The following is a 24,112-nucleotide window of genomic DNA, read 5'->3' as shown; positions in this document are numbered from 1 at the left end:
AATACACATAGAACCAAAAAAGAGCCTGAATAGCCAAAGCAATCCTAAGCAAAAACAAACAAAAAAACAAACAAAAAAAAACCCACCCAAAACCAAAACCAAAGGCATCACACTACCTGATATCAAAGTATACTATAAAGCTACAGTAATCAAAACTCATGGTAATGGTACAAAAACAGATGCATAGACCAAAGAAACAAGTGCGAGAACCCAGAAATAAAGCTGTATACCTACAATGATCTGATCTTTGACAAAGATGACAACAATAATCAATGGGGAAAGGAATTCCTAGTCAATAAATGCTGGGATAACTGGCTAGCCATATGCAGAAGATTAAAACTGGACCCCTTCCTTATGTTATATATGAAAATTAACTCAAGATGGATTAAATACTTAAATGTAAAACATAAAGCTATAAAAACTCTAGAAGAAAACCTAGGAAATACCATTCTGGACATAGGCCCTTGCAAAAATTTCATGGTAAAGACTCCAAAAGCAATTGCAACAAAAACAAAAAAATGACAATGGGATCTAATTAAACTAAAGAGCTTCTTCACAGCAAAAGAAACTATCAATAAAATAAACAGACATCCTACAGCATGGGAGAAAATATTTGCAAACTATTCCTCTGACAAAGGTATAATATTCAGAATCCATAAGGAACTTAAATCAGCAAGCAAAAAAACAGTCTTATTAAAAAATGGGCAAAGGACATGGACAGACACTTCTCAAAAGAAGACATACATGTGGCCAACCATATGAAAAAATGCTCGACATCACTAATCATCAGAGAAATGAAAATCAAAACCACAATGAGATACCATCTCACACCAGTCAGAATGGCTATTACTAAAAAGTCAAAAATTAAAGATATTGGTGAGTTTTCAGTGAAATGGGAAAGTTTATACACTACTAGTGAGAATGTAAATTAGTTCCTAGCCACTTTGGAAAACAGTGTGGTGAATTTTCAAAGAGCTCAAAGCAGAATTACCATTTGACCCAACAATCCAATTTTTGGGTATATACCCAAAAGAATATAAACTGTTCTACCAAAAAGACACAGGCATGTGCTTATTGCAGCACTCTTCACAAAAGCACAGACATGGAATCCACCTAGATGCCCATCAGTGGGGGACTGGATAAAGAAAATGTGGTACATATGCACCATGGAATGCTACACAGCCATAAAAAAGAAAAAAATCATGTCATTTGCAAGATGCAGCTAGAGGCCATTATCTTAACAAAATAACACAAATGGTGGTGTTGTCCCTGCTCCTACTCCGGGCTTTGGGGTCAGTGCAGATATTCAGTCATGAAGTCAGGGTAGGGACTTCTCCTGCGATGTGGCCAGCAGGACTGGTTGTGTTCCAGGGGCTGGACTTCCAGGTGATTTTTCGAGATGCTGCTCTCCATAGGGATGCTTATGCTGTCAGCCACACAAGTCTACACCATCTTGGCTGTCCAGCTCTTTGCATTCTTAAACCTACTGCCTGTAGAAGCAGACATTTTAGCATATAACTTTGAAAATACATCTCAGTCCTTTGGTGACCTCCCTGCAAGATTTGGTTATAGACTTCCAGCTGAAGGTTTAAAGGGTTTTTTGATCAAAACCAGAGAATGCCTGTGAACGCAGAGTGCCTCCACCAGTAAAAAACAATTTGTCTGGCACTTTCATTGTGTTAATTAGAAGACTTGATTGTAATTTTGATATAAAGATTTTAAATGCACAGAGAGCAGAATACAAAGCAGCCATAGTTCACAATGTTGATTCTGATGACCTCATTAACATTGGATCCAATGACATTGAGGTACTAAAGAAAATTGACATTCTATCTGTCTCTATTGGTGAATCATCAGCTAATTCTCTGAAAGATGAATTCATGTATGAAAAAGGGGACCACCTTATCTTAGTTCCAGAATTTAGTCTTCCTTTGGAATGCTGCCTAATTCCCTTCCTTATCATAGTGAGTATCTGTCTCATCTTGATAGTCATTTTCATGTTTTTGGCTATTACAAATAAAGCTGATATGGACATTTGTTATATGGAAATATGCTTTCATTTCTATTGGATCACAAAATTTTTCCAGGATAGACATAGAGCTAGAAGAAACAGACTTTGTAAAGATCAACTTAAGAAACTCCCTGTACATAAATTCAAGAAAGGAGATGAGTATGATGTATGTGCCATTTGTTCAGATGAGTAGGAAGATGGAGACAAGCTCAGAATCCTTCCCTGTTCCCATGCTTATCACTGCAAGTGTGTAGACCCTTGGCTAACTAAAACCAAAAAAACCTGTCCTGTGTGCAAGCAAAAATTTCCTTCTCAAGGCAATCCAGACTCTGACACAGATGGTAGTCAAGAATAAAATGAAGTGACCCTTTACTTAGACCTTTAGCTTCTGTCATTGCCCAGTCATTTGGGGCTTTGTCAGAATCCCGCTCACATCAGAACATGACCGAATCTTCAGACTATGAGGAAGATGACAATGAAGATAACAACAGTAGTGATGAAGAAAATGAAACTAATGAACATAATGTTGCGGTCCAGTTGCAGCCTAATGGTGAATGAACATAGCTGTTGCAGGAAGTCAGGGACCCCGAACAGAGGGACCAGCTGGAGATGCAGCAGAGGAACATAAATTGTGAAGATTTCATTTTAATGTGGACATTTATCAGTTCCCAAATAATACTTTTATAATTTCTTACACATGTCTTTATTTTAATCTCTTAATCCTGTTATCTTCATAAGTTGAGGATGTACATCACCTCAGGACCACTGTGGTAATTGTGTTAACTGTACAAACTGATTGTAAAACGTGTGTTTGAACAATATGAAATCAGTGCACCTTGAAAAAAAACAGAAAAACAGTGATTTTTGGGGAACAAGGAAAGACAACAATAAGGTCTGATTGCCTGTGGGGTCGGGCAAAAAGAGCCATATATTTCTTCTTGCAGAGAGCCTATAAATGGATGTGCAAGTAGGGAAGATATCACTAAATTCTTTTCCTAGCAAGGAATGTTAATATTAATAACGTGGGAAAGGAATACATTCCTGGGGGGAGGTCTATAAATGGCCCCTCTGGGAATGTCTGTCTTATGCAGTTGAGATAAGGACTGAGATAAGCCCTGGTCTCCTGCAGTACCCTCAGGCTTACCAGGGTGGGGAAAAACTCTGCCCTGGTAAATTTGTGGTCAGACTGGTTCTCTGCTCTTGAACCCTGTTTTATGTTGTTTAAAATGTTTATCAAGACAATATGTGCACCGCTGAACATAGACCCTTATAAGTAGTTCTGCTTTTTGTCCTTTGAAGCATGTGATCTTTGTACCTACTCCCTGTGCTTACACCCCCTCCCCTTTTCAAACCCTTAATAAAAACTTGCTGGTTTTGAGGCTCAGATGGGCATCATGGTCCTACTGATATGTGATGTCACCCCAGGCGGCCCAGCTGTAAAATTCCTCTCTTTATACTGTCTCTCTTTATTTCTCAGCCGGTCAACACTTATGGGAAACAGAAAGAACCTATGCTGAAATATTGGGGGTGGGTTCCCCTGATACATAGCAAATACTGTTTGAATTTCAGAAGATGATTGGTTTATTTCCCTTTAAAATATTTAGGTATATACTGTAATATGATTTTTTTTTGCTCCCTTCAAAGATTTCTCTAGAAATAACTTATTTTTTAGTACTCTAAAATTTAATCAAATTACTGAAAAAGGACTTTTGATATGGTATTTATCTGCAAGAGTGTACTTCTTCACTAATAATAATAGACTGGTGCTATAACTCAAGCATCAATTCAGCTCTTCTTTTGGAATGAAAGTATAGCCAAAACAACAACAACAAAAAGTCCTCAGCATAGCTTGCAATTAAGATCTAGATCACAGTATTTAAGTGTTTTGCATTTTATACATGAGGTTAGTGCTACAGCCACCTAGCATGAAATAACCCAGCTTCCACCTCCACAAAGTTACCTAGAGTTGTTGAGTTGGAATATGTTCTGGCATTTACCCGACCTTCCATCATTGGTGAGAGGCAACAAGGTAATTCAGTGCCTTTCCTCCTATCAGCACAAAGAAACTCAAAGCTGTCTTTTCCCTTTCTGTTCCAAAGAGTCTTATCCTGACAGGAGCAGTCTATACTAGTGCAGATTTCAACACTTCTTTTTTTTTTTTTTAACGTTTTAATTATTATAGTGTTATGTAGAGATTTGACTCAACAGCTAAAGTAATGTCTCTGAACTTTACTTACTAAATTTCAGTATCCTTAAGAGTTTTGTGGTATTGTTATCAAAGCAAAAAGAAAATGCTGCATAAAAATACCAAACCTCAGCAACTGTTAATACTCAGATCATATACCTCTTAATAAATGGCATCTTATGCTAATTAGCCCTGCTAAACTGTGTACAGAGGAAATTATTCAAGTATTGGATTTGAAAGTAAGTGACTTATGTTTAACAGAACTAATGATGTCATCATTGTAACTATGTAGAAAATGTAGACTAATGTATAATCAAAATACTAAGAATTTTTATATGGCCTTGTATGAGGGGAGTTTGAATGTTAATAAACATGTTTTCCACTTTAAGATCCAGTTAAAAAAATTAACAACAGAAAACCAAATACTGCATGTTCGCACTTATTAGTGGGAGCTAAACATTGAGTGCACATGGACACAAAGAAAGGAAAAATAGACACCAGAACCTACCTGCGGGTGGAGGGTGGGAGGTAGATGAGAATTGAAAAGCTATCTATTTGGTACTATGCTCACTACCTGGGTGTCAAAGTAATTTGTACACCAGACCAGAGACATGCAACTTACTCATATAACAAACCAGCACATGTACCCTAGAACCTAAAAGCTGGAAAGAAAAAAAAGAAATCACATCATTTAGCAACAAGTACACTTAATAAAAATATAAAATAATTTGTTCGTGATGACTACAATACAATGGTCAAAGATTTTTCTATCACATGACCAATGGCCCCTGAAATTCAAGAAGGTACATTCAACAAAATGAACTAATAAAAATTCCATGCAAAAACTTTGCTTGAAAAAACTATAAGCCTCAGATTGTTTTTGGTGAAATGTGCTATCTCTTCAACTGCAAATTCCTAGTGTCAGCATTCTAAAGTAATTGAGTTATGAAATTAAATTGGATTAAGAAAGAAATAAGTAAAATAATAAATTCAGATGGCTTTTGATATAATTATTTATAACATGTTGTAATTGTTATGGAAATCTTAATTTAAAAAAGAAGTCTTATTTTTGAGGGTCAGTGGTGGTACCTGTGTTAATCTTACAGTGCCATGTTTTTGGAACCTCTCATTTATGTTTCTCATCTATCAGCCTTATGCTATATCCAGACTTCTTTGATGTATCCAAGGACAATGTGGCTATTTGGAAAGAAAAAGAGTGGGGTAAGGTTCAGAGGGTTGAGAATGTAAAGCAATATAATATCCTTTGGATGATAAATATCAAAAAAAAAGATTTTCTCCATCAAAATAAAAAAGAAAAAGGGTAGATATAATTGAAATTATATAACACATGTTTCAAAAGAATATATACCTGTGTGATTTGTAATATAGTAGATATATATTATCTAGTATGTATCTATTATATATATCTATTATATATATTATCTAGTATATATCTTTGTAATCATTTTTTACAAAACTAGAGTTAATAAAAATGTTTATTTTGAAATATTAAAAGTATAGTTTGCCTAAACAGTAATTGCAAATTTACTAAAGTTACTGATATGGTTTGGCTGTGTCCCCACCCAAATCTCATCTTGAATTCCCACGTGTCGTGGGGGGGACCTGGTGGGAGGTAATTGAATCATGAGGGCAGGCTTTTCCCATGCTGTTCTCATGAGAGTAAGTCTCTCAAGATCTGATGGTTATGATAAGGGGGAGTTTTCCTGCACAAGCTCTCTCTTTGCCTGCTGTCATCCATGTAAGATGTGACTTGCTTCTCCTTGCCTTCTGCCATGATTGTGAGGCTTCCCCAGCCATGGGGAACTGTAAGTCAAATTAAACCTCTTTCTTTTGTAAATTGCCCAGTCTCCGGTGTGTCTTTATCAGCAGCATGAAAATGGACTAATACAGTTACACATAACTTTATGTATTTATTTATGTTTACAAATGAAGCAAGAAGAAAACTTTAGCATTAAAGGTATTAACATTATTTTAATAAAACAGAAGAAAGTAATTCTGTGTTCAAAACTTGGTGTCAAGCAGATTTGGAGAGGACTTGCTTTCCAGAAATGAAGTGAATGTGAGGGGGAAAAAAGAAAATAACTAAAATTGAAAACAAAATCTGTCACGTGCAAACTTTGTCTCAACAGTCTTCGCTGTAGATAACACTCTTAGCAATTTCTCCTACCTCTAATTTTTCACTTTTATCATCACAATAGACATTGGAATACTATTAAGGCACTCCCTGAAATGAGTAAAATCTCTCTACTTTTATTTCTCTGATAAAATAAACCTGATATAAAAGAGGATAAAAGACTATAGCTTTTCAAAATGGTCATTCTCTTTAAAATTATGCATGCTAAAAATGCCAGGCCAATTCAGCAACCTTAGACTTGAAGAACTTTTTTATCTGAGACATTGAAACAAAAGCAGGATGTTGACTAACCATGTTCATGTGCATAAACTAACTCTGTTTTAGTCAGGAGCTAACCTTAATACATCCACAAGAAATCCAATAGAGCCAATGCCAATGAGACGTTTGCTTTTATTCCTGAAGATTTTTGGGACACAAAATAAAGTTTTACCCACAAAAACTCAGAATTTCTCCAGAAAAAGCCTTATGAGACATCTCTTCTCCCAGGAATCTCCTCTCAGCCTCCAGTCATCAGGTATCTCTTCTTTTCCATCTGACCTCCTGCCCTGATTAGTCTCTAAGAAACGCTTAATTTGTCTTTTTCTTTCCCCACCTCTGTTTTATTTTTCAAATTTATTCCAATATTACAAAGGTTATTCTAGCCTTTCTCTTTTTAAAAATTTTAACAGATTTTTATTGTTAAAAATTTCCTCATACCTCTTTGCACAATCCCCTCTCTTTACCCCCAGCTTCCATGGATCTGATTTCTCTCTATATGCTGTTGTCTTTCCAGAATGTCATATAATTGGCCATAAAGTATGTAGCCTTTTGTGTCTGGCTTCTTTCAGTTAACACAATGCTTTGAAATTCATACATGCTACATGTATTCGTGGTTTGTTCCTTTTTACTGGTGAGTAGTGTTGCATTGCATGGTTGTACTACAATTTGTTTCTCCATTTACCAGTATGTTTATATGTTGCTGTTTTTAGTTTTTGACTATTATGAATAAAGTCATAAACATTTCCACATAGGTCTTTGTGTGGTCACATATTGTTATTTATTTTGGATAGTTACAAATGAGATTGCTGGTTCATATAATATATTTAACTTTATAGGTACTGTTAAACTATTTTTCACATGAACTGTATTATTTTGCATTCTAACCAATAATGTTTGAGACATCCAGTTGCTCTACATCCCTGTCTTGACTTGATACTGTCATTCTTTTGAATTGTAGCAATTCTAGTAAATGTGTGGTAGGTCTTTGCATTTTAATTTACATTTTCTCAATGATTAATGATGTCTAACATCTTGTCATGTACTTATTTGCCCTCTGTATATCTTCTTTATTTTCTTTTTTAAATTTGCAAATTTAGCACCAAGCCTGGCCAATTTTTGTATTTTTTTGTAGAGACAGGGTTTTGCCATGTTGCCCAGATTGGTTTTGAACTTCTGGGCTCAAATGATTCGCCCGTGTTGGCCTCCCAAAATGCTGGGATTACAGGTGTGAGCTACTGTGCCTGGGCTATATATCTTCTTTAATGAAGTGTTATTCAAATGGCTTTTAAAATTAGGTTGTTTGTGTTTTTATTGTTGAGTCATAAGAATTCTTATATTCTAAATATTTTTCTAAAATTTTTAAAGTTTTTTTTTTGTTTCTTAGGAACATCTCTATTGCAGTAATGTTGCAAGTATTTTTTCCTAGTTTGTCAGTTGTCTTTTTTAAATTAAATTAAATTTTTTTTTTCTGGGAAGAGAAAGTCTCCAGTGTGGACAGAAGGTGCTCTTTCTTCCCCTAGTTTATTGTTTGTCTTTTGATGTTACTAATGGTATTTCTTGCAATAAAAAGGTATCTATCTATCTATCTATCTATCTATCTGTCTGTCTGTCTATCTATTTATTTAGAGACGGAGCCTTGCTCTGTCACCCAGGCTGGAGTGCAGTGACACAATCTCAGCTCACTGCAACCTCCACCTCCCAGGCTCAAGCAATTCTCCTGCCTCAGCCTCTGAGTATTTGGGATTACAGGTGCCCACCACCATGCCCAGCTAATTTTTGTATTTTTAGTAGAGAAGGGGTTTTACCATGTTGGACCAGGCTGGTCTCAAACTCCTGACCTCAAGTGATCTGGCTGCCTTTGCTGAGACCAGCTCAATCGATACCTAACCCAGCAGTGCTAGAGGAATTAAAGACACACACACAGAAATCCAGAGTGCAGAGTGGGAATCAGGGGGCTGACAGCCTTCAGAGCTGAGAGCCACGAACAGAGTTTTACCCACATATTTATTGACAGCAAGCCAGTGATAAGCAGTGTTTCTATAGATTATAGATTAACTAAAATGGGAAACAAAAGGATGGGGTCTGGCTAGTTATCTGCAGCAGGAATGTGTCCTTAAGGCACAGATCACTCATGCTATTGTTGTGGTCTGCCCTGGGTGGGCCAGGTGTTTCCTTGCCCTCATTCCAGTAAACCAACAACCTTCAGTGTGGGCATCATAGTCATTGTGAGCATGTCACAGTGCTGCAGAGATTCTGCTTATGGCCAGTTTTGGGGCCTGTTTATGGCCAGATTTGGGGGCCTGTCCCTAACATGCCTTGCCCTCCCAAAGTGCTGGGATTATAGGCATGAGCCACTGTGCCTGGCAAAAAATGTTTATTTTTAAAACTGTACTCACATTTCTCAATTTAAAAAATTGCCACCGGATTTTGAGTCATAGGAAGCCTCTCTTAACAATGAGGTTTAAAGAGGAATTCCCTCATGCTTTCTTCTAGTAAATTCCATTTCTTTTGTCTAATTACATTTTAAAATATTTATATTTTATAATTTGTGAATTTTATTCTTGTATTTGATGTGAAGTCTGCATCTAATTTTGTTTTTTTCCATATGATTCATCAATTGACCCAATGGGAGACAGGACTAGCTGGATTTCCTAGGCTGACTAAGAATTCCTAAGCCTAGCTGGGGAAGGTGACTGCAACCCACCTTTAAACACAGGGCTTGTAACTCAGCTCACACCTGACCAATCAGGTAGTAAAGAGGGCTCACTAAAATACAAATTAGGCTAAAAGCAGGAGGTAAAGAAGTAGTCAAATCATATATTGCCTGAGAGCACACAGGGAGGGGCAATGATTGGGATATAAACCCCAGGACTTTGAGCTGGGAGTGGGCAACCCCCTTTAGGTCCCCTCCCATTGTATGGGAGCTCTGTTTTCACTCTATTAAATCTTGCAACTGCACACTCTTCTGGTCCGTGTTTGTTCTGGCTTGAGCTGAACTTCTGCTCTCTGTCCACCACTGCTGATCGCCACCTTCACAGACCCACCATTGACTTTCACCCCTCCGGATCCGGCAGGGTGTCTGCTGCACTTCTGATCCAGCAAGGTGCCCATTGCCCCTCCCGTTTGGGCTAGAAGCTCGTCATTGTTCCTGTGCAGCTAAGTGCCCGGGTTTGTCCTAATCAAGCTGAACACTAGCCGCTGGGTTCCACGGTTCTCTTCCATGACCCATGGCTTCTAATAGAGCTATAACACTCACTGCATGGCCCAAGGTTCCATTCCTTGGAATCTGTGAGGCCAAGAACCCCAGGTCAGAGAACAAAAGGCTTGCTGCCATCTTGGGAGTGGCTGCCACTATCTTGGGAGCAGCCCATCACCATCTTGGGAGCTCTAAGACCAAAGACCCACCCATAACACCAGCACTATTTATTAAACCTTTGTTTCAGTGATTTGAGATGACATTTTTATCATATATTTAATTTCTACATATATTTATGTCTACTTCTGGGCTTTCTATTTAATTTCTGTTAGTCTATGCATCAGTATCACATTACTTTCACTATGTATGGTCTATAGTATGTTTTAATGTAGGATTAAATCTAGACAGGATTAGTATCCCTCATAGATTTGCTTTTAGTGTTTTCCTGACAATTTTTGCATATTTGTTTTTCATATGAACTTTTTAAAGATAAACTTTTTATTTTAGAATAGTTTTAGATATATAAAAAGTTGCAAAAATAGTGCAGAAAATTCCCGATATACTCCACACAGTTTTCCTTTATTATTAACATCTTAAAATAGTATAGTACGTTTGTCATGATAATTGAACCAATAACTACCAATAACAATAATACCTTGTTATTAACTGAAGTTCATACTTTATTCATATTTCTTTGGTTTTGACCTAATGTTTGTTTTCTGTCCTAGGATTCCATCCTGGATACCACATTATATTTATTTGTCATATCTTCCTAGGCTCCACTTGGCTGTGGTAGCTTTTCAGGGTTTCCTTGTTTTTTTGATGACCTTGACAGTTTTTAAGAATTCTTGGTCAGGCATTTTATAGAAGATCTCACAATTGGGATTTCTTTGATGTTTTCCTCATGATTATATTGGGTTTTGGGTTTGAGAGAGGAAAACCAAAGATGGAAAGTGACATACTTACCATATATTGTCAACGTGACATCACTGTTGATGTGAACCTTGAACACTTGGCAGAGAGAGTTTTTATCATGTTTCTCCACAGTGAAGTTACCCTTTTCATGCTACTCTTGATAAGGAAGTCACTATATATAGACCACACTTAAAGACTGGGGAGTTATGCTCCTCTTCCATGAGGATCGAGTATCTACATAAATTATTTGAAATTTCACCCTAAAGATTTATCTATTCTTCCCCATATATTTATTCAATTATTTATTTATATCAGGATAGACTCATGGATATTTATTCTATATTTTGGGGTATAATTTGATATTTCTTTATTTTGTTAATGAAATTGTTTCAAGTTTGGCCCCTGAGGACTCTTTCAGTTGGCTCCTGTGTCCAGTTGACATAACCCCATCATTATGATTTTGTTTGAGAATTTCCTTTTATTCCTATACTACATGTATTTTACACCTTTTTAAACTGTCCCACAGTTCTTGAATGTTCTGTTTTTCTACTTTTCCTTTCCTCTTTTCTCTTTGCATTTAAATTTGGGAAGTTTCTATTGACCTATCTGCAAGCTCACTGAGACTTTCCTTGGTTGTGTCCAGTCTCCTGATGAGCCCATCCAAGATGCCCTTCACTTCCGTTACAGTGCTTTTTACTTTTAATGTTTCCCTTTGAGTCTGAGAGTTTCCATCCCTCTGCTTAAACAACCCATCTTTTCTTGAATGTTGTCTCCCAAGAGTGCATAACATATTAATCATAATTATTTTAAATTCCCTGTCTGATAATTCCAACATCTGTGTCGTATCTGAGTCTGGTTCTTATGCTTGCTTTGTCTCTTCAGACTGATTATTTTCTTGCCTTTTGCCTTTCTTTGCCTTGTCATGCCTTAAAAGCTGGACATGTTGTATCAGATAATATGAACTGAGGTAAATTGGCCTTTAATGTGAGGATTTATGTTAACCTGCCTAGGAGTGGGGCTATGTTTAATGTTTCCTATAGCTATAGTTATCAGAGGCTTCAAATATGTCCCTTGTTTTTTTTCTCCATTCTTGATTTTGGCACTTCCTAAGTACATTTCAGAGTCTGTATCTTGCTGCTCCTTTAGCTATAAGCCAATGGTAATTATACTGTAATCTTGTTTGTGTGGTGGTATGGTGGTAAGGTGTGGAGGGATGGGAGCATTCTATAATATTCCAATTAAATCTCAGTGTTTTAGTGGTCCTCTCTTTTGGGGCTATGACCTTCACCTGTGTTTCTCTCCTTTCATCCCTGCTCCTTTCTTTAGCTATGACATTCCCAATTTATTGCCTCTAATTCCTGACACGTTTTAACATTATTTTAAACCCTTTTAGGTGAGTCAGAAAAGCTAGAGGCTACTGGAGTGGGAGGAATGATTTACTGATAGGAACCCCACAGGTTATTACAGATTATATCAAGAAAGATTTCATCATGACTCTGGCAATGTTTCTTCCCTTCAAGTAAACCTTTCTTACAAAGAAAGCTCTGTGCATATTTCTGTATTTCACAATGATTACTCTTCCTTCCGCCTGTCAGAGGCATGAGCGTGTCTTTCTCAGTCTTCTCTTTGAGAACCTGATAAAGTTCCTAAAAGGAAAGCTCACAGAATTATAGACCCCAAGGATACTGTCCCCAGGAGTTTCTCATTCCAATTCGAGTTCAAACTTACTGTCCTGCAGTTCATCAAAACTACCATTTGAAAGTTCCTACTAGTTTATGGACCCAGAGACTTCTGTTCCAAGTAAGCGGATCTCAGATGTGTCTCTCTAGATGAGCTTGCTTCTCCAGATTTGGGGGTAGCAATTTGCCTTATAATCTCAGTTTTCTAATGGGTTAAAGAAAAATAATTGATTTTTCAGTTTGTACAGCTTTTTCTTGTAAACACAGTGTGACAACCTCCAAGCTGTTTACAAGTCAGATTTGAAACTGAAAGTATCCCTATGAACCTTTTTGTCAACTTATCTAGCTTCATAAATAAGCTGTGACTATATTTAATGGGATTTCATCAAATTAATAAATTCACTTTGGGGAGAACTGACAGCTTTATTCTGCTGCATTGTAGTATCCAACAAGAGAAAATGCCTTTTTGTTCATTTACATCTATTTTTGTGACTTTCAGGATTGATTTAAAGCTTTCCTCACAAGTCTTGCACATTTCTTAAGTTTATTTCTAAATATTTAATTTTCTCCATTGGTGTCATTATTGGGAATTTGTCTACTATTATTTTCTCTAACTGGTTATTATTTGTGTAGATGAAGACTATTGATTATTGAATGTTAATTTTATGTCCTGACTTATTCATTCATTTATTATTGGGGCCAGTTTTACCTTCAAATTTCTGGGGGTTTTTATGTGCACTAGCATATCATCTACTTAATAGAGGTAGTTTTACTTGTCTTTAACAATTCTCATGCCTTCGGTTGATTCCTCTTATTTATGTGCATTGACTAATACCTCTACTACAAAGTTGAATAGTAATGGAGATATTTGGCCTTCTTGCCTGTTCCTGAATCTTAGTGAAAAATGCCTCAAGTGTTTCCTCATTAAGACTTTTTAAGGCTAAGGTGTATGTATTTTAGGTAGTTAAGAAAATATCCACCAATTTTTATTCTCTGAGTAACTTTCTTACCAGAAATGAGTGTTGAATTTGTCAAAGTTTTTCTTCAGCATTTATAAAAATAACACATTTTCCCCTCAGATCTATTAAGATAGTTTATTATATTAGTGGATTTAAATAATGTGGAATACACCTTGGATTTCTGGGGTAAATCTTACTTGATCATGGTGTGTTATTTTCTTCCTTAGGTTTGGACACTGCTGGCCAACATTTTACCTAGCACTTTTGCATGGATATTCACTGGTCTTTAGTTTTCATTTGTTTGTACTTTTAGATATAATTATCAATGTTCTACTTCCTTCTTTAAAAGAAGTAAGTCGGTTTGCTCATTTTCAATGCTCTGGAACGGTAGTCCCCAAATGTTTTGGCACCAGGGACCAATTTCGTGGAAGACAATTTTTCCACACAAGGGATTGGGGGTTGGGGGAGATGGTTTCCGGATGAACCTGTTCCACCTCAGATCATCAGGCATTAGATTCTCATGAGGAGAACAACCTAGTTCCCTCACATGTGGAGTTCACAATAGGGTTTGCACTCTTATGGGAAGTGAATGCTGCTGATGATCTGACAGAAGGCAAAGCTCAGTCGGTAATGCTCATTCACCTTCTGCTGTGTGGCCCAGTTCCTAACAGGTCATGGGTCAGCACTGGTCCATGGCCTGAAGGTTGGGGACCCCTACTCTGGAACAATATATGGAGCACTAGTAGTCTCTGTTCTTTAAAGGTTTGGTAAAAATTCCCTGTGAAACTGTCTTAGCCCAGTGCTTTTGGTGGGATAATTCCTTGATAACATTATTTTGTTTAAAGAAATCATTCTATTCAAGCTTTTACTCTCTAATGGGATCAGTTTTGGTTATATTGCTCTAGAAATTATCATTCCTTTCTAGGCTTTTAAATTTATTTGCATAGAGGGCCACAAATTAACATCTTACGAGTTAATTTTTTTTTATTTGAATGGTTATTTCCTCCTTGTAATTTTTTTTTTTTTTTTGAGATGGAGTCTCACTCTGTCACCTAGGCTGGAGTGCAGTGGCATGATCCCAGCTCACTGCAACCTCCACTTCCCAGGTTCAAGCAATTCTCCTGTCTCAGTCTCCTGAGTAGCTGGGATTACAGACACCCATCACCATGCTCGACTAATTTTTGTATTTTTAGTAGAGACAGGGTTTCACCATATTGGCCAGGCTGGTCTCGAACTCCTGACCTCAAGTGATCCACCTGCCTCAGCCTGCCAAAGTGCTGGGATTACAGGCATGAGCCACTGCGCCTGGACCCTCATTGTAATTTCTTATTCTGTATATTTATATATGATTTTTCTCTACCATGAGAACTAGCAATTTGTTCATTTTTTCCCAAGAGGCAGGATTTGGATATATTAATTAGTTCTACTGTTTTTCTATTCTCCACCTACAAATTTTTGCATATCTTCCTGATTTTCCTGTTTATAAATTCTTTTGGTTTATTTTGTTGCTTCTTCTACCTCATTTGTGAGTTGGAAATATAACTTACTTATTTCCATTCTTCTATTTTTATTGGTTAAGTGTTTAGTGGTATGATTTCCTCTGGTTACTACTGTAAATGTGTTCAAACAAATTATGCTATGAAGTGTTTTCATTTTTATTATTTTTTAAACATTCTGTAATTTTGGATTATATTTTCTCTTTTACCCAAGAGTTGCTAAATAGGTGTTTCTTTTTAAAGTTCTAGGTGGAAGGATCTTCCTTTTTTTACCTTATTAGTAATTTCTAATTTGATTTTGTGATCATAGATTATTGCTTTAATATCTCCACTTTATGGAAGCTACTGATGTTTTGTTTGCAGCTTAATATTTAATTAATTTTATAGTGTTTAGTAAGCACTTGAGAAAAAGTGCTATTCTCTCTAATCAGTGCACAAATTTTGATATATAGCCATCAGAACAAACTTACTGACTGTGTTGTTTAGGTCTTCTATATCCTTACTGATAGGACAGTACTTGATGTGACTTATGTTGATAATAGTGTGTTAGTCTTCTATTATTAGTGTTTTAATCTCTGTCTCATTGCATCTCTATAGCTTTTGCTTTATAAAGGTGATTGCTATATTATTTGGTTATAAGAAATACAAATTATAAGAAATTTATAATAAATATTCTTGTGAATTTTAGCTTTTAGCATGTAAACATTCTCTTCTTTGTTACGTATACTGCTTTCTCGGCTTGAGTTCTGATATCAGAGTTGCTACTATAGCTTTCTTACTGTTTCCATTTGCCTGGTACATTTATCCATCCTTTTATTAGTTCTGAATCACTTTGTCTTAATGTGACTTTTATATACAGCACATTGCTGGGTATTGCTTTGTGAGCCAAATTGAAAATATTTTTCTTTTAGTAGGGGAGTTCAGCCTATTTACATGTATTGATGTGACTGATATGTTTGCTCTCGATTTTGATATAATATATACATAATTATTTGTGTTGTATAATGTTTGCTTTGTTTCTCTATGAGGTGTGTGTTCTTTGCTCCTTTATATTTACTTTCAGTATTTACAAAGATATTTATTTTTGTTGTGGTGATTACCTTTGTACTTTGTACTATCTTTTATAATACCTATTCACCTCTATTTCCTCATGTAATCTTTTACTATCTGATTTATTAGGTTTTAATAGTCTCCTTTAACTCTTCTACCTATTACCTATACAACAGTGATTCTCAATTGGGGTGATTTTGCCCCATAGGAAGCATTTGGCAATGGAGACATTTTTGATAGTCACACTGAGGGGATATTACTGGCATCTAGTGGGTAGAGGTTGGAGATGCTCCTAAATATCTTATAATACACAGGACAGCTCTCAAAACAAAGAATTATCTGACACAAAATGTTAAAACTGCTGAGATCAAAAGACCCTGCTGCATAGAAATTTTTTCTCTTTCCCTCTCTTTTTCTCCCATTTGTATAATAATTATTTTCACAATATATAGTATTTGTACATTATTCCTCCTTTGTCCTCATTTTGTTTGTAATACTCCATAATTATACATATATATATATACACACACACACACACACATATACACTCATTTTTTTGCTGATATTTTCTCAGTTATCTCTTGGTTGGATGAAACTCATCCTTTAGTACTATGTTGTCTAGTAAGTTAGTCACTAGCTACATGTGACATTGAGAACTGGAAATATGGCTAGAAAAAATTAGATGTGGTATAAGTGTAAAATACACTGAATTCAAAAATTTAGTGCAAGGAAAAAATGTAAAATATCTCATTTTTTATATTGATCATATATCAAAATTGCAATATTTTTTATATATTGGGTTAAATGATAAATATTATTAAAATTAATTTTACCTCTTTTTACTTTTTAACAAATGGTTAAGACAAGACCTCAAGTATTTTTTGGAAACTGTCCTATTGTTTCATTGTGTGTTAAATACAGGAAAGACTATAGAAAGCTAGGGAAATATTTCTCCATTGTTGGACTCCTAAGACAAAAAGGGTGACATAGTTGGGTTTTTGAATCATTTTCAAGTTGCCTGTTTTATATAACATGTTGTGTGTCCTGATTATTAAGCGATTGTCATTCAGCTCCAAACCCTCCCTTCTTTGCTTTGTGATACTAGGCTGAAGACTCTGCAGTTACATTTCTGCTCAAATGCTTTCCTGTTAGGCTCTGCCAGTAGGCAGTGCTAGTGGGAGATAGGAAAACTGGAAGAGGAAGATGGGACTTGACCTTTCTTGGATTGCTTCCTGTTCTGCATTTGCTTCCTATTCCTGTCAGTTGGTTTCAGCAGCAAGTGAAAAAAAACTAAAAAAAAAAAAAAAAAGGCTGTTGGTTGTAGTTCCTTCCTTCCTTCCTTCCTTCCCTCTTTCCTTCCTTCCTTCCCTCTCTCTCTCTTTCTTTGTTTCTCTTCCTTTCCTTTCTTTCTTCTTTCTTTCCTTCCCCTTCCCCTTCTCTTTCTTTCTTTCCTTCCTTCCTTCCCTCTCTCTCTCTTTCTTTGTTTCTCTTCCTTTCCTTTCTTTCTTCTTTCTTTCCTTCCCCTTCCCCTTCTCTTTCTTTCTTTCCTTCCTTCCTTCCTTCCTTCCTCTTTCTTTCTTTCTTTTCTTTCTTCCTCTCACTCTGTCACCCAGGCTGGAGTGCAGTGGCACAATCTCGGCTTACTGTAACCTCCACCTCCCGGGTTCAAGCAATTCTCCTGCCTCAGCCTCCTGAGTAGCTGAGTTTACAGGTAGCCACCACCATACCCGGCTAATTTTTTGTGTTTTTGGAAGAGACGGGGTTTCACCATTTTGGCAAGGCTGGTCTCGAACTTCCTGAGCTCAAGTGATCCACCCGCCTTGGCCTCCCAAAGTGCTGGGATTGCAAGCGTGAGCCGCCGCACCAGCCCTAGTTTGCAGCTTTTCTGGAATCAGCACTAATGCAGACTCTCAGAGATAACAGCATCTATTGTCCTGTGCGTTCTCCTCACAGGTACAAGACCCAGTTCTCATGGTCCCTCCTCTAGGCTCTTAAGTTTTAGGAATTGCATCCAATTTTCCATTTACAGTTTTCTGAAAGAGATTCCAAACAGTATTCGTTCTTTTAGAGGGCAAATTACTGCACAATGCACTAAATAAGGTTACTTCTTTTTTTTAATTACTTTTTGTTTGTTTGTTTGAGATGGAGTCTTGCTCTGTCTCCCAGGCTGGAGTGCACTGGCGCAATCCCGGCTCACTGCAGGCTCCACCTCCCGGGTTCATGCCATTCTCCAGCCTCAGCATCCCGAGTAGCTGGGACTACAGGCGCCCGCCACCATGCCCGGCTAATTTTGTTTTGTATTTTTAGTAGAGACGGGTAGGTGGGATTATATGCCTGCGCCACCAAGCCTGGCTAATTTTTTTTTTTTTTTTTTTTTTTTTTTTTTTGTATTTTTAGTAGAGATGGGGTTTTGCCATATTGGCTAGGCTGGTCTTGAACTCCTGGCCTCAAGTGATCTGCCCACCTCAGCCTCCCAAAGTGCTAGGATTATAGGCGTGAGCCACCAAGCCTGGCCTAGATAAGGTTACTTCTCTGCTGAACACTTCCTGGTAATTTTTTAAAAATGAAATTTATTTTATGTTTATGATTTACGTTTATGATTTATGTTGTTTTCTATTTGTGAAAGGAATTTACTTTCATGTCAGATGTCTTCAGAAAGTGTTCTGCCAATTTCTAGTCCCATTTGTAATGTATAAGAGTGTCTATCTCAAACTGGTAGAATTTTAAAAGAATAATGCTCAGATTATGTTTATATGAGGAGTACACATTTATAAGAAAGAATTCGGTAAACACATAAGATTGAAGACAAATATTAAAATTATTCCAAATCTTATTCCTTACATGTAAGCACTATTAAGTTTTGGTGTATTTTTTTTTTATATTCTTAAGGCTGTTTTTAATCTCACTTTTAAAAAAATTGTCAAAATGATGCATGTTGTTTGTAACAAAAAATCCTAAGAGTTTAAAAGTTAAAAGTAAAAGGCAATTTGCCTCCTTTTCTCCTCTCCCTAATTCCTATACATGACCACTATCTTTGCTTTTAAAATTAGCATTACAATGTGTTTTTTGTGCTATTATAAATTTTAGTATAAATACCTAATACTACATTATATGAATATACACTAATTTATTTACACACTGTCAGAGGTTTAGGTTCCCTATTAAAAGTTTACAATTAACTTCTTTGTATGAAAAGTTTTTTTCTGAATTTAAGTGTTTTTTCCCAGAAGTAGAATCACTAAGTTAAAGCCATTTTATATTTTTTAGTCTCTTGACATCTAATGTAAAATAGCTTTTGAGAAAAGTTATTTCAATTTATACTTCCAAGAACAATGGAATTTCTGATATTGAAATTCTGACTGCCGTGACTGATGACAAGAGATTTTTCAACCAGAGGCCTTTCTGTGTTTCTGTAAAGTCACTTTGCAGAGCACCTTTTGTGTTACACTTACTTGTCTATATGTCCTCTACAGAATGATTCCTAGTAAAAGATATTTTTGTCTTTAAAAAATGTGTCCATTCTATCCCAGAAAACAGCACCCACCAATTTTACACCCTTGGGTTATCTATCCTATTGGATAACAGGCTGCCATGCTTCATATGCATAATAATCCCAGGGATGCGGAGAGTGTCACTATGCAGAATGGGTTCTTACTCCTCGGGCTGAGTGAGTGAGTCTGGGGTTGGGGTTCTGGAATTTGTATTGTTAACAGGGGATTCTGATGCAGTGAATGATCTCTCAGCAGTCAAAGAGAATCTCTACTCTGTAGATTAAATTACTGATTCTTGATGTTTGCTGGTTAACAGTGGTTGATTGCAAAAAAAAAAAAAAGCCATATAGTAAAAATGAATGTGGGAAATACTGACTTAAACATATTAAACAGGCTTAAATGTATTTCTCAGGATTTTTAATATGCTGATGCTCTCTAACTTTTCAATATGCTGTTGCTCTCTGTCTTTGCAAGGAGGGCTTATTTTTTTGCAGCCAAATTTATATAATGAATGGAATTCATTTTATTGTTTATTGTTTATTAATTAATTTATTTTTTTGAGACAGGGTCTCACTCTGTCACCCAGGCTTGAGTGCAGTGGCATGATCTCAGCTCATTGCCATCTCCGCCTCCTGGGTTCAGGTGATTCTCTTGCCTCAGCCTCCTGAGTAGCTAGGCTTACAGGTGCATGCCATCCTGGCTGGCCAATTTTTGTTATTTTCAGTAGAGACACGGTTTCGCCATGTTGGCTAGGCTGGTCTCGAACTCCTGACCTCAAGTGATCCGCCCACTTGGCCTTCCAAAGTGCTGGGATTATAGAAGTGAACTGCTGCACCTGGCCTGTTTATTTTTTTTAGTTTGTTTTGTTTGGGCGTGGGCCAACTGTTAACATCTGATGTTCCTAGGAACGAAGTTTGAAAATCCTGGATTAAGTGATCTTTCTATTACAGTATTTCCCATCATTCGCTTAGTACCTTAAAACATTTAATGAACTTCCCTAGGCACATGGCTTTTATTATATGGTTTAGGCAAAGTAAAAATTTCATATTTTGTAAATCTAAATTTTCAGGGCTAGATTGACTTCCTAGCAAACATGCTTAACTTTTTTTCTTTATATTCAAATGCCTTTTTTGTTCATTCCCTTAATAAAAAGTGTACCAAAGAAATCTGTTTTGAAGCCCTCCATTTCCTCTTAGTGCCTATTAACTAGAGTAAGATGTGATCTAGAAGAACTTCATGTAATAGAAATAAAGCCCACGTGACCAAAAATTTAACACTCATCCAACAACAACTGCTTTAGAAGTGGCAGGGTCTTTATTGTTTAGAATTTCTAATGTTGGGGTTTATTCAAAGGGTTATAAAAAGGTCTTTTGAAACATTCCTGTAGCAAATTATTTTGGCTGAATTACAAATCCTCAAAAGTGGGGCTTTATTATAATGGAAACAGAGTTAGAATAAACTCTAACAACATTTGTAGGCAGCACTGTGTAATGAGGGTTGAGTGCATTGCTATATTATGACTAGAGGCATATCTTTTCACTATCTCAGTAAAGCACTCCTAGCTTTTATACACAGTGTTACTGGTCAAGTGTTCTGTAAGCTTCCCTGTTTCTTTTTATCCAATTGTTTCACGCATCTTCTGCATATGAAGCACTGCAATCTCAGGTGACCCTGTCAGGTTTAAATTATTAGCCCTGGATCATTCTCCTGTTAGAAATGTTCTACATATTCATCTGTAGAAGTAAATAACAGCTTCAACTTAACATGTCAACAACTCTATAGAACATTCTAGCTAACTTTGATGAGCTTTAATCTTGTTAATAGCACCCTCTGAAGTTTGGTTGGTCAATAATTAGGAAGGAAAATAAAGGTTAACTCACTAATTTTTTACTGGTGTTTTGTAATTTGCAAAGCAGGTAATATACCTGAACAAATTAGAGAAACCTTGAAACGCTCCTGTGAGGCAGATATTGTTATAACCTCTTCCCCACAAAGGTAGGGAACCTGAGACTCAACTAAATTAAGTAACTCACCCAAAATTTCTTCCTCAGGAAATGATGCAGCTAGGACTCAGAGCCAGATAGTTTGATGTGTAAATCTGTATTTTTTTTCTATCACATAAGTTTCATTTCTCCAAGTCACCTTCCACTTAGACTATATAAACTCCAAGATAATTCGATTGTTTACATTCCAAGGAACCTACCAACTTTCCAGTTACACATATTTTCCATGTAACTTTGATGAAAGCAGTACAGTGTTGAGAACTGAGTGAATTACAAAGAATTGAGTTTGAGTAAATTCTGTGTTCACTTACTAGTCTTGTAATATTGAGAATGTTACCTCCTTGAGCTAGTTTCTATTTATGAAAATAAGGACTTACAATAGCATGTACTTTATGGGATTGTTATAAAATATTTATGGAATATGCCCAACACAATACTGAGGGTACCCAGTAACTGACTTTAACCTTATTTGCAAAATTTCACAATGTTTAATTTCACCTGAGCCAGAAAAACAGTAAAGGGTAAGAAATCCCCCCACTCTTTGTGTTCTGGAAAATGACTTAATAAGACTTACAGAGGCCAGGCATGGTGGCTCACGCCTGTAATCCCAGCACTTTGGGAGGCTGAGGTGGGTGGGTCATTTGAGGTCAGGAGTTCGAGACCAGCCTGGCCAACAGGATGAAACCCCGTCTCTACTAAAAATACAAAAGTGAGCTGGGCGTGGTGGTGTGTGCCTGTAATCCCAGCTACATGGGAGGCTGAGGCACGAGAATTGCTTGAACCAGGGAGGTGGAGGTTGCAGTAAGCTGAGATTGTGCCACGGCACTCCAGCCTGAGTGACAGAGCGAGACTCTGTTTAAAATAATAATAATAATAGGCTGGGCGCGATGGCTCATGCCTGTAATCCCAGCACTTTGAGAAGCCGAGGAGGGCGGATCATGAGGTCAGGAGATGGAGACCATCCTGGTTAACTCAGTGAAACCCCGTCTCTACTAAAAATAGAAAAAATTAGCCGGGCGTGGTGGCAGGTGCCTGTAGTCCCAGCTACTCCGGAGGCTGAGGCAGGAGAATGGCGTGAACCTGGGAAGTGGAGCTTGCAGTGAGCCAAGATCGCACCACTGCACTCCAGCCTGGGCAACGGAGCAAGACTCTGTCTCAAAAAAAAAATAAAATAAAATAAAAAAATAATAATAATATAGAAAGACTTACAGATGCCTCCTTTGTTTACCTATAACAAGGCCCGACATAGATCCTCAAAATTTCTTTTTTTAGCCTCATAAATGATTAGCTAAACTGCTTGTCCCATTGATCAATTGGAACAAAAGTCTTGGTATTCAAACTTTGGTTAAGCTTCTTTCCTTCCTCCAGGACCCTGAACTTTGGCCCACCCTCAGCCTGGGCTAGCATACAATGCCGGTTTAGAATAAGCTGGTCTCGAGGTCAGACATTCTCTCATATACTATCTGATCGCACCATCTTTTATTCTACTTTCTCACACCTGGCTCTTCCTAGCTTTATTTATTCCTCTCTGAAAAAGAAAAAAATCTTTTTCTTTTTCTTTTTTTTTTTTTTGCCTAACTTTTGAGATGCTTGCAGATCTCATGGTCAGAGCATTCTTCCTGTTACAATAGTCCTCCTCCCCCATTGCAATAGTTTCCTTACAATAATCTTCCCTTACAATAATCTTTTTGAATAAAATCTCTTCTTACTAAGTCCAGATTTGTTTTTATTTGACAAATATATAGAAGGATATTCTATGAAAGAGATCTGCAACCACTAGCATATTATCAAGAAGATTCATAGAGTGAATGATTTTCTTTTGGTGGCTGCTTATGACATGGTCCTATAGCTCATCACTGGTCACTTGGAGGGAGATCAGGGTAAGGTCTAGAAAAGTTGCAGGAGGGTGGGAAATAGAACTCTTGTGACCAGCAAAATAATAGTCTCTTCTTTCTATTTAAAATAAGCTATAATATATCCATCTGTCTTAGTCCATTTTGTGTTGCTATAACAGAATACCTGAGACTGAGTAATCCATAATGAACAGAAATTTAGTGGCTCATGGTTCTGGGAGGTCCATGATTGAAGGGCCTGCATTTAGCAAGGGCCTTCTTGCTGCATCATCCCATGGTGGAAGGGCGAAAAGAGGATGAGAAAGAGCAAGAGATTGAACCTGCAGCCTCAAGCTATTTTATAATTGACATTAATCCATTCATGAGTGTGGAGCTCTCATGACCTAAATAGTTTCCATTAGGCCTCACCTCTCAATGGTGTTGCACTTGGGGATTAAATTTCCAACACATACTGTTTTGGAGACACATTCAAGTCAAAGCACCATTCTATATGCTTCTCTGTATATAGAACATATAAAAATAATGTTAGACAAGAATATTAAAAGAATGGAAAGTTGTGATAATTTTTTTTTTCTTATAGCAAATGTTGAAATGGTATGAACTGTATGGTCTCATGGTGGTAAAAAATATATACATATGTTTGTATACACAGAGGAAAGACTAGAAGGTTCTGTACCTGTTAACAGTGGCTGATCCTAGAAGAGTGAAATTTAGGGTAAGATTTTTCATTTTTTTCCCAAAATGTCTACAATGCACAAGGATTGTTTTTAAAAAAATAGTTGTTCTTTATTTTTGTATTTCAAAGGAAATACATTGTCTTAGTCTGTTTGAGCTGTTTAACAAAATTCTGCAGACTGGGTG

The 24,112-nt window shown here is 36.7% G+C and overlaps 1 long non-coding RNA gene and 1 pseudogene across 1 annotated transcript in view; both read left to right on the top strand.

Annotated features, from left to right (window-relative positions):
• The window catches only part of LOC101928882 (uncharacterized), a 162,590-nt gene that overhangs the window by 94,865 nt on the left and 43,613 nt on the right, over positions 1 to 24,112 (top strand). Inside the window, exon 5 of the long non-coding RNA NR_109986.1 lies at positions 23,904 to 23,966. This is a non-coding gene — a long non-coding RNA (uncharacterized LOC101928882). The remainder of the gene's footprint in view (positions 1 to 23,903; positions 23,967 to 24,112) is intronic.
• On the top strand, positions 1,257 to 4,595 carry RNF13P1 (RNF13 pseudogene 1; annotated as a pseudogene).

Source organism: Homo sapiens, chromosome 3 (assembly GCF_000001405.40).
Source record: "Homo sapiens chromosome 3, GRCh38.p14 Primary Assembly".
In the NCBI taxonomy this organism is placed as follows: Eukaryota; Metazoa; Chordata; class Mammalia; order Primates; family Hominidae; genus Homo; species Homo sapiens.
This window is presented reverse-complemented; position numbering and strand designations above follow the sequence as displayed.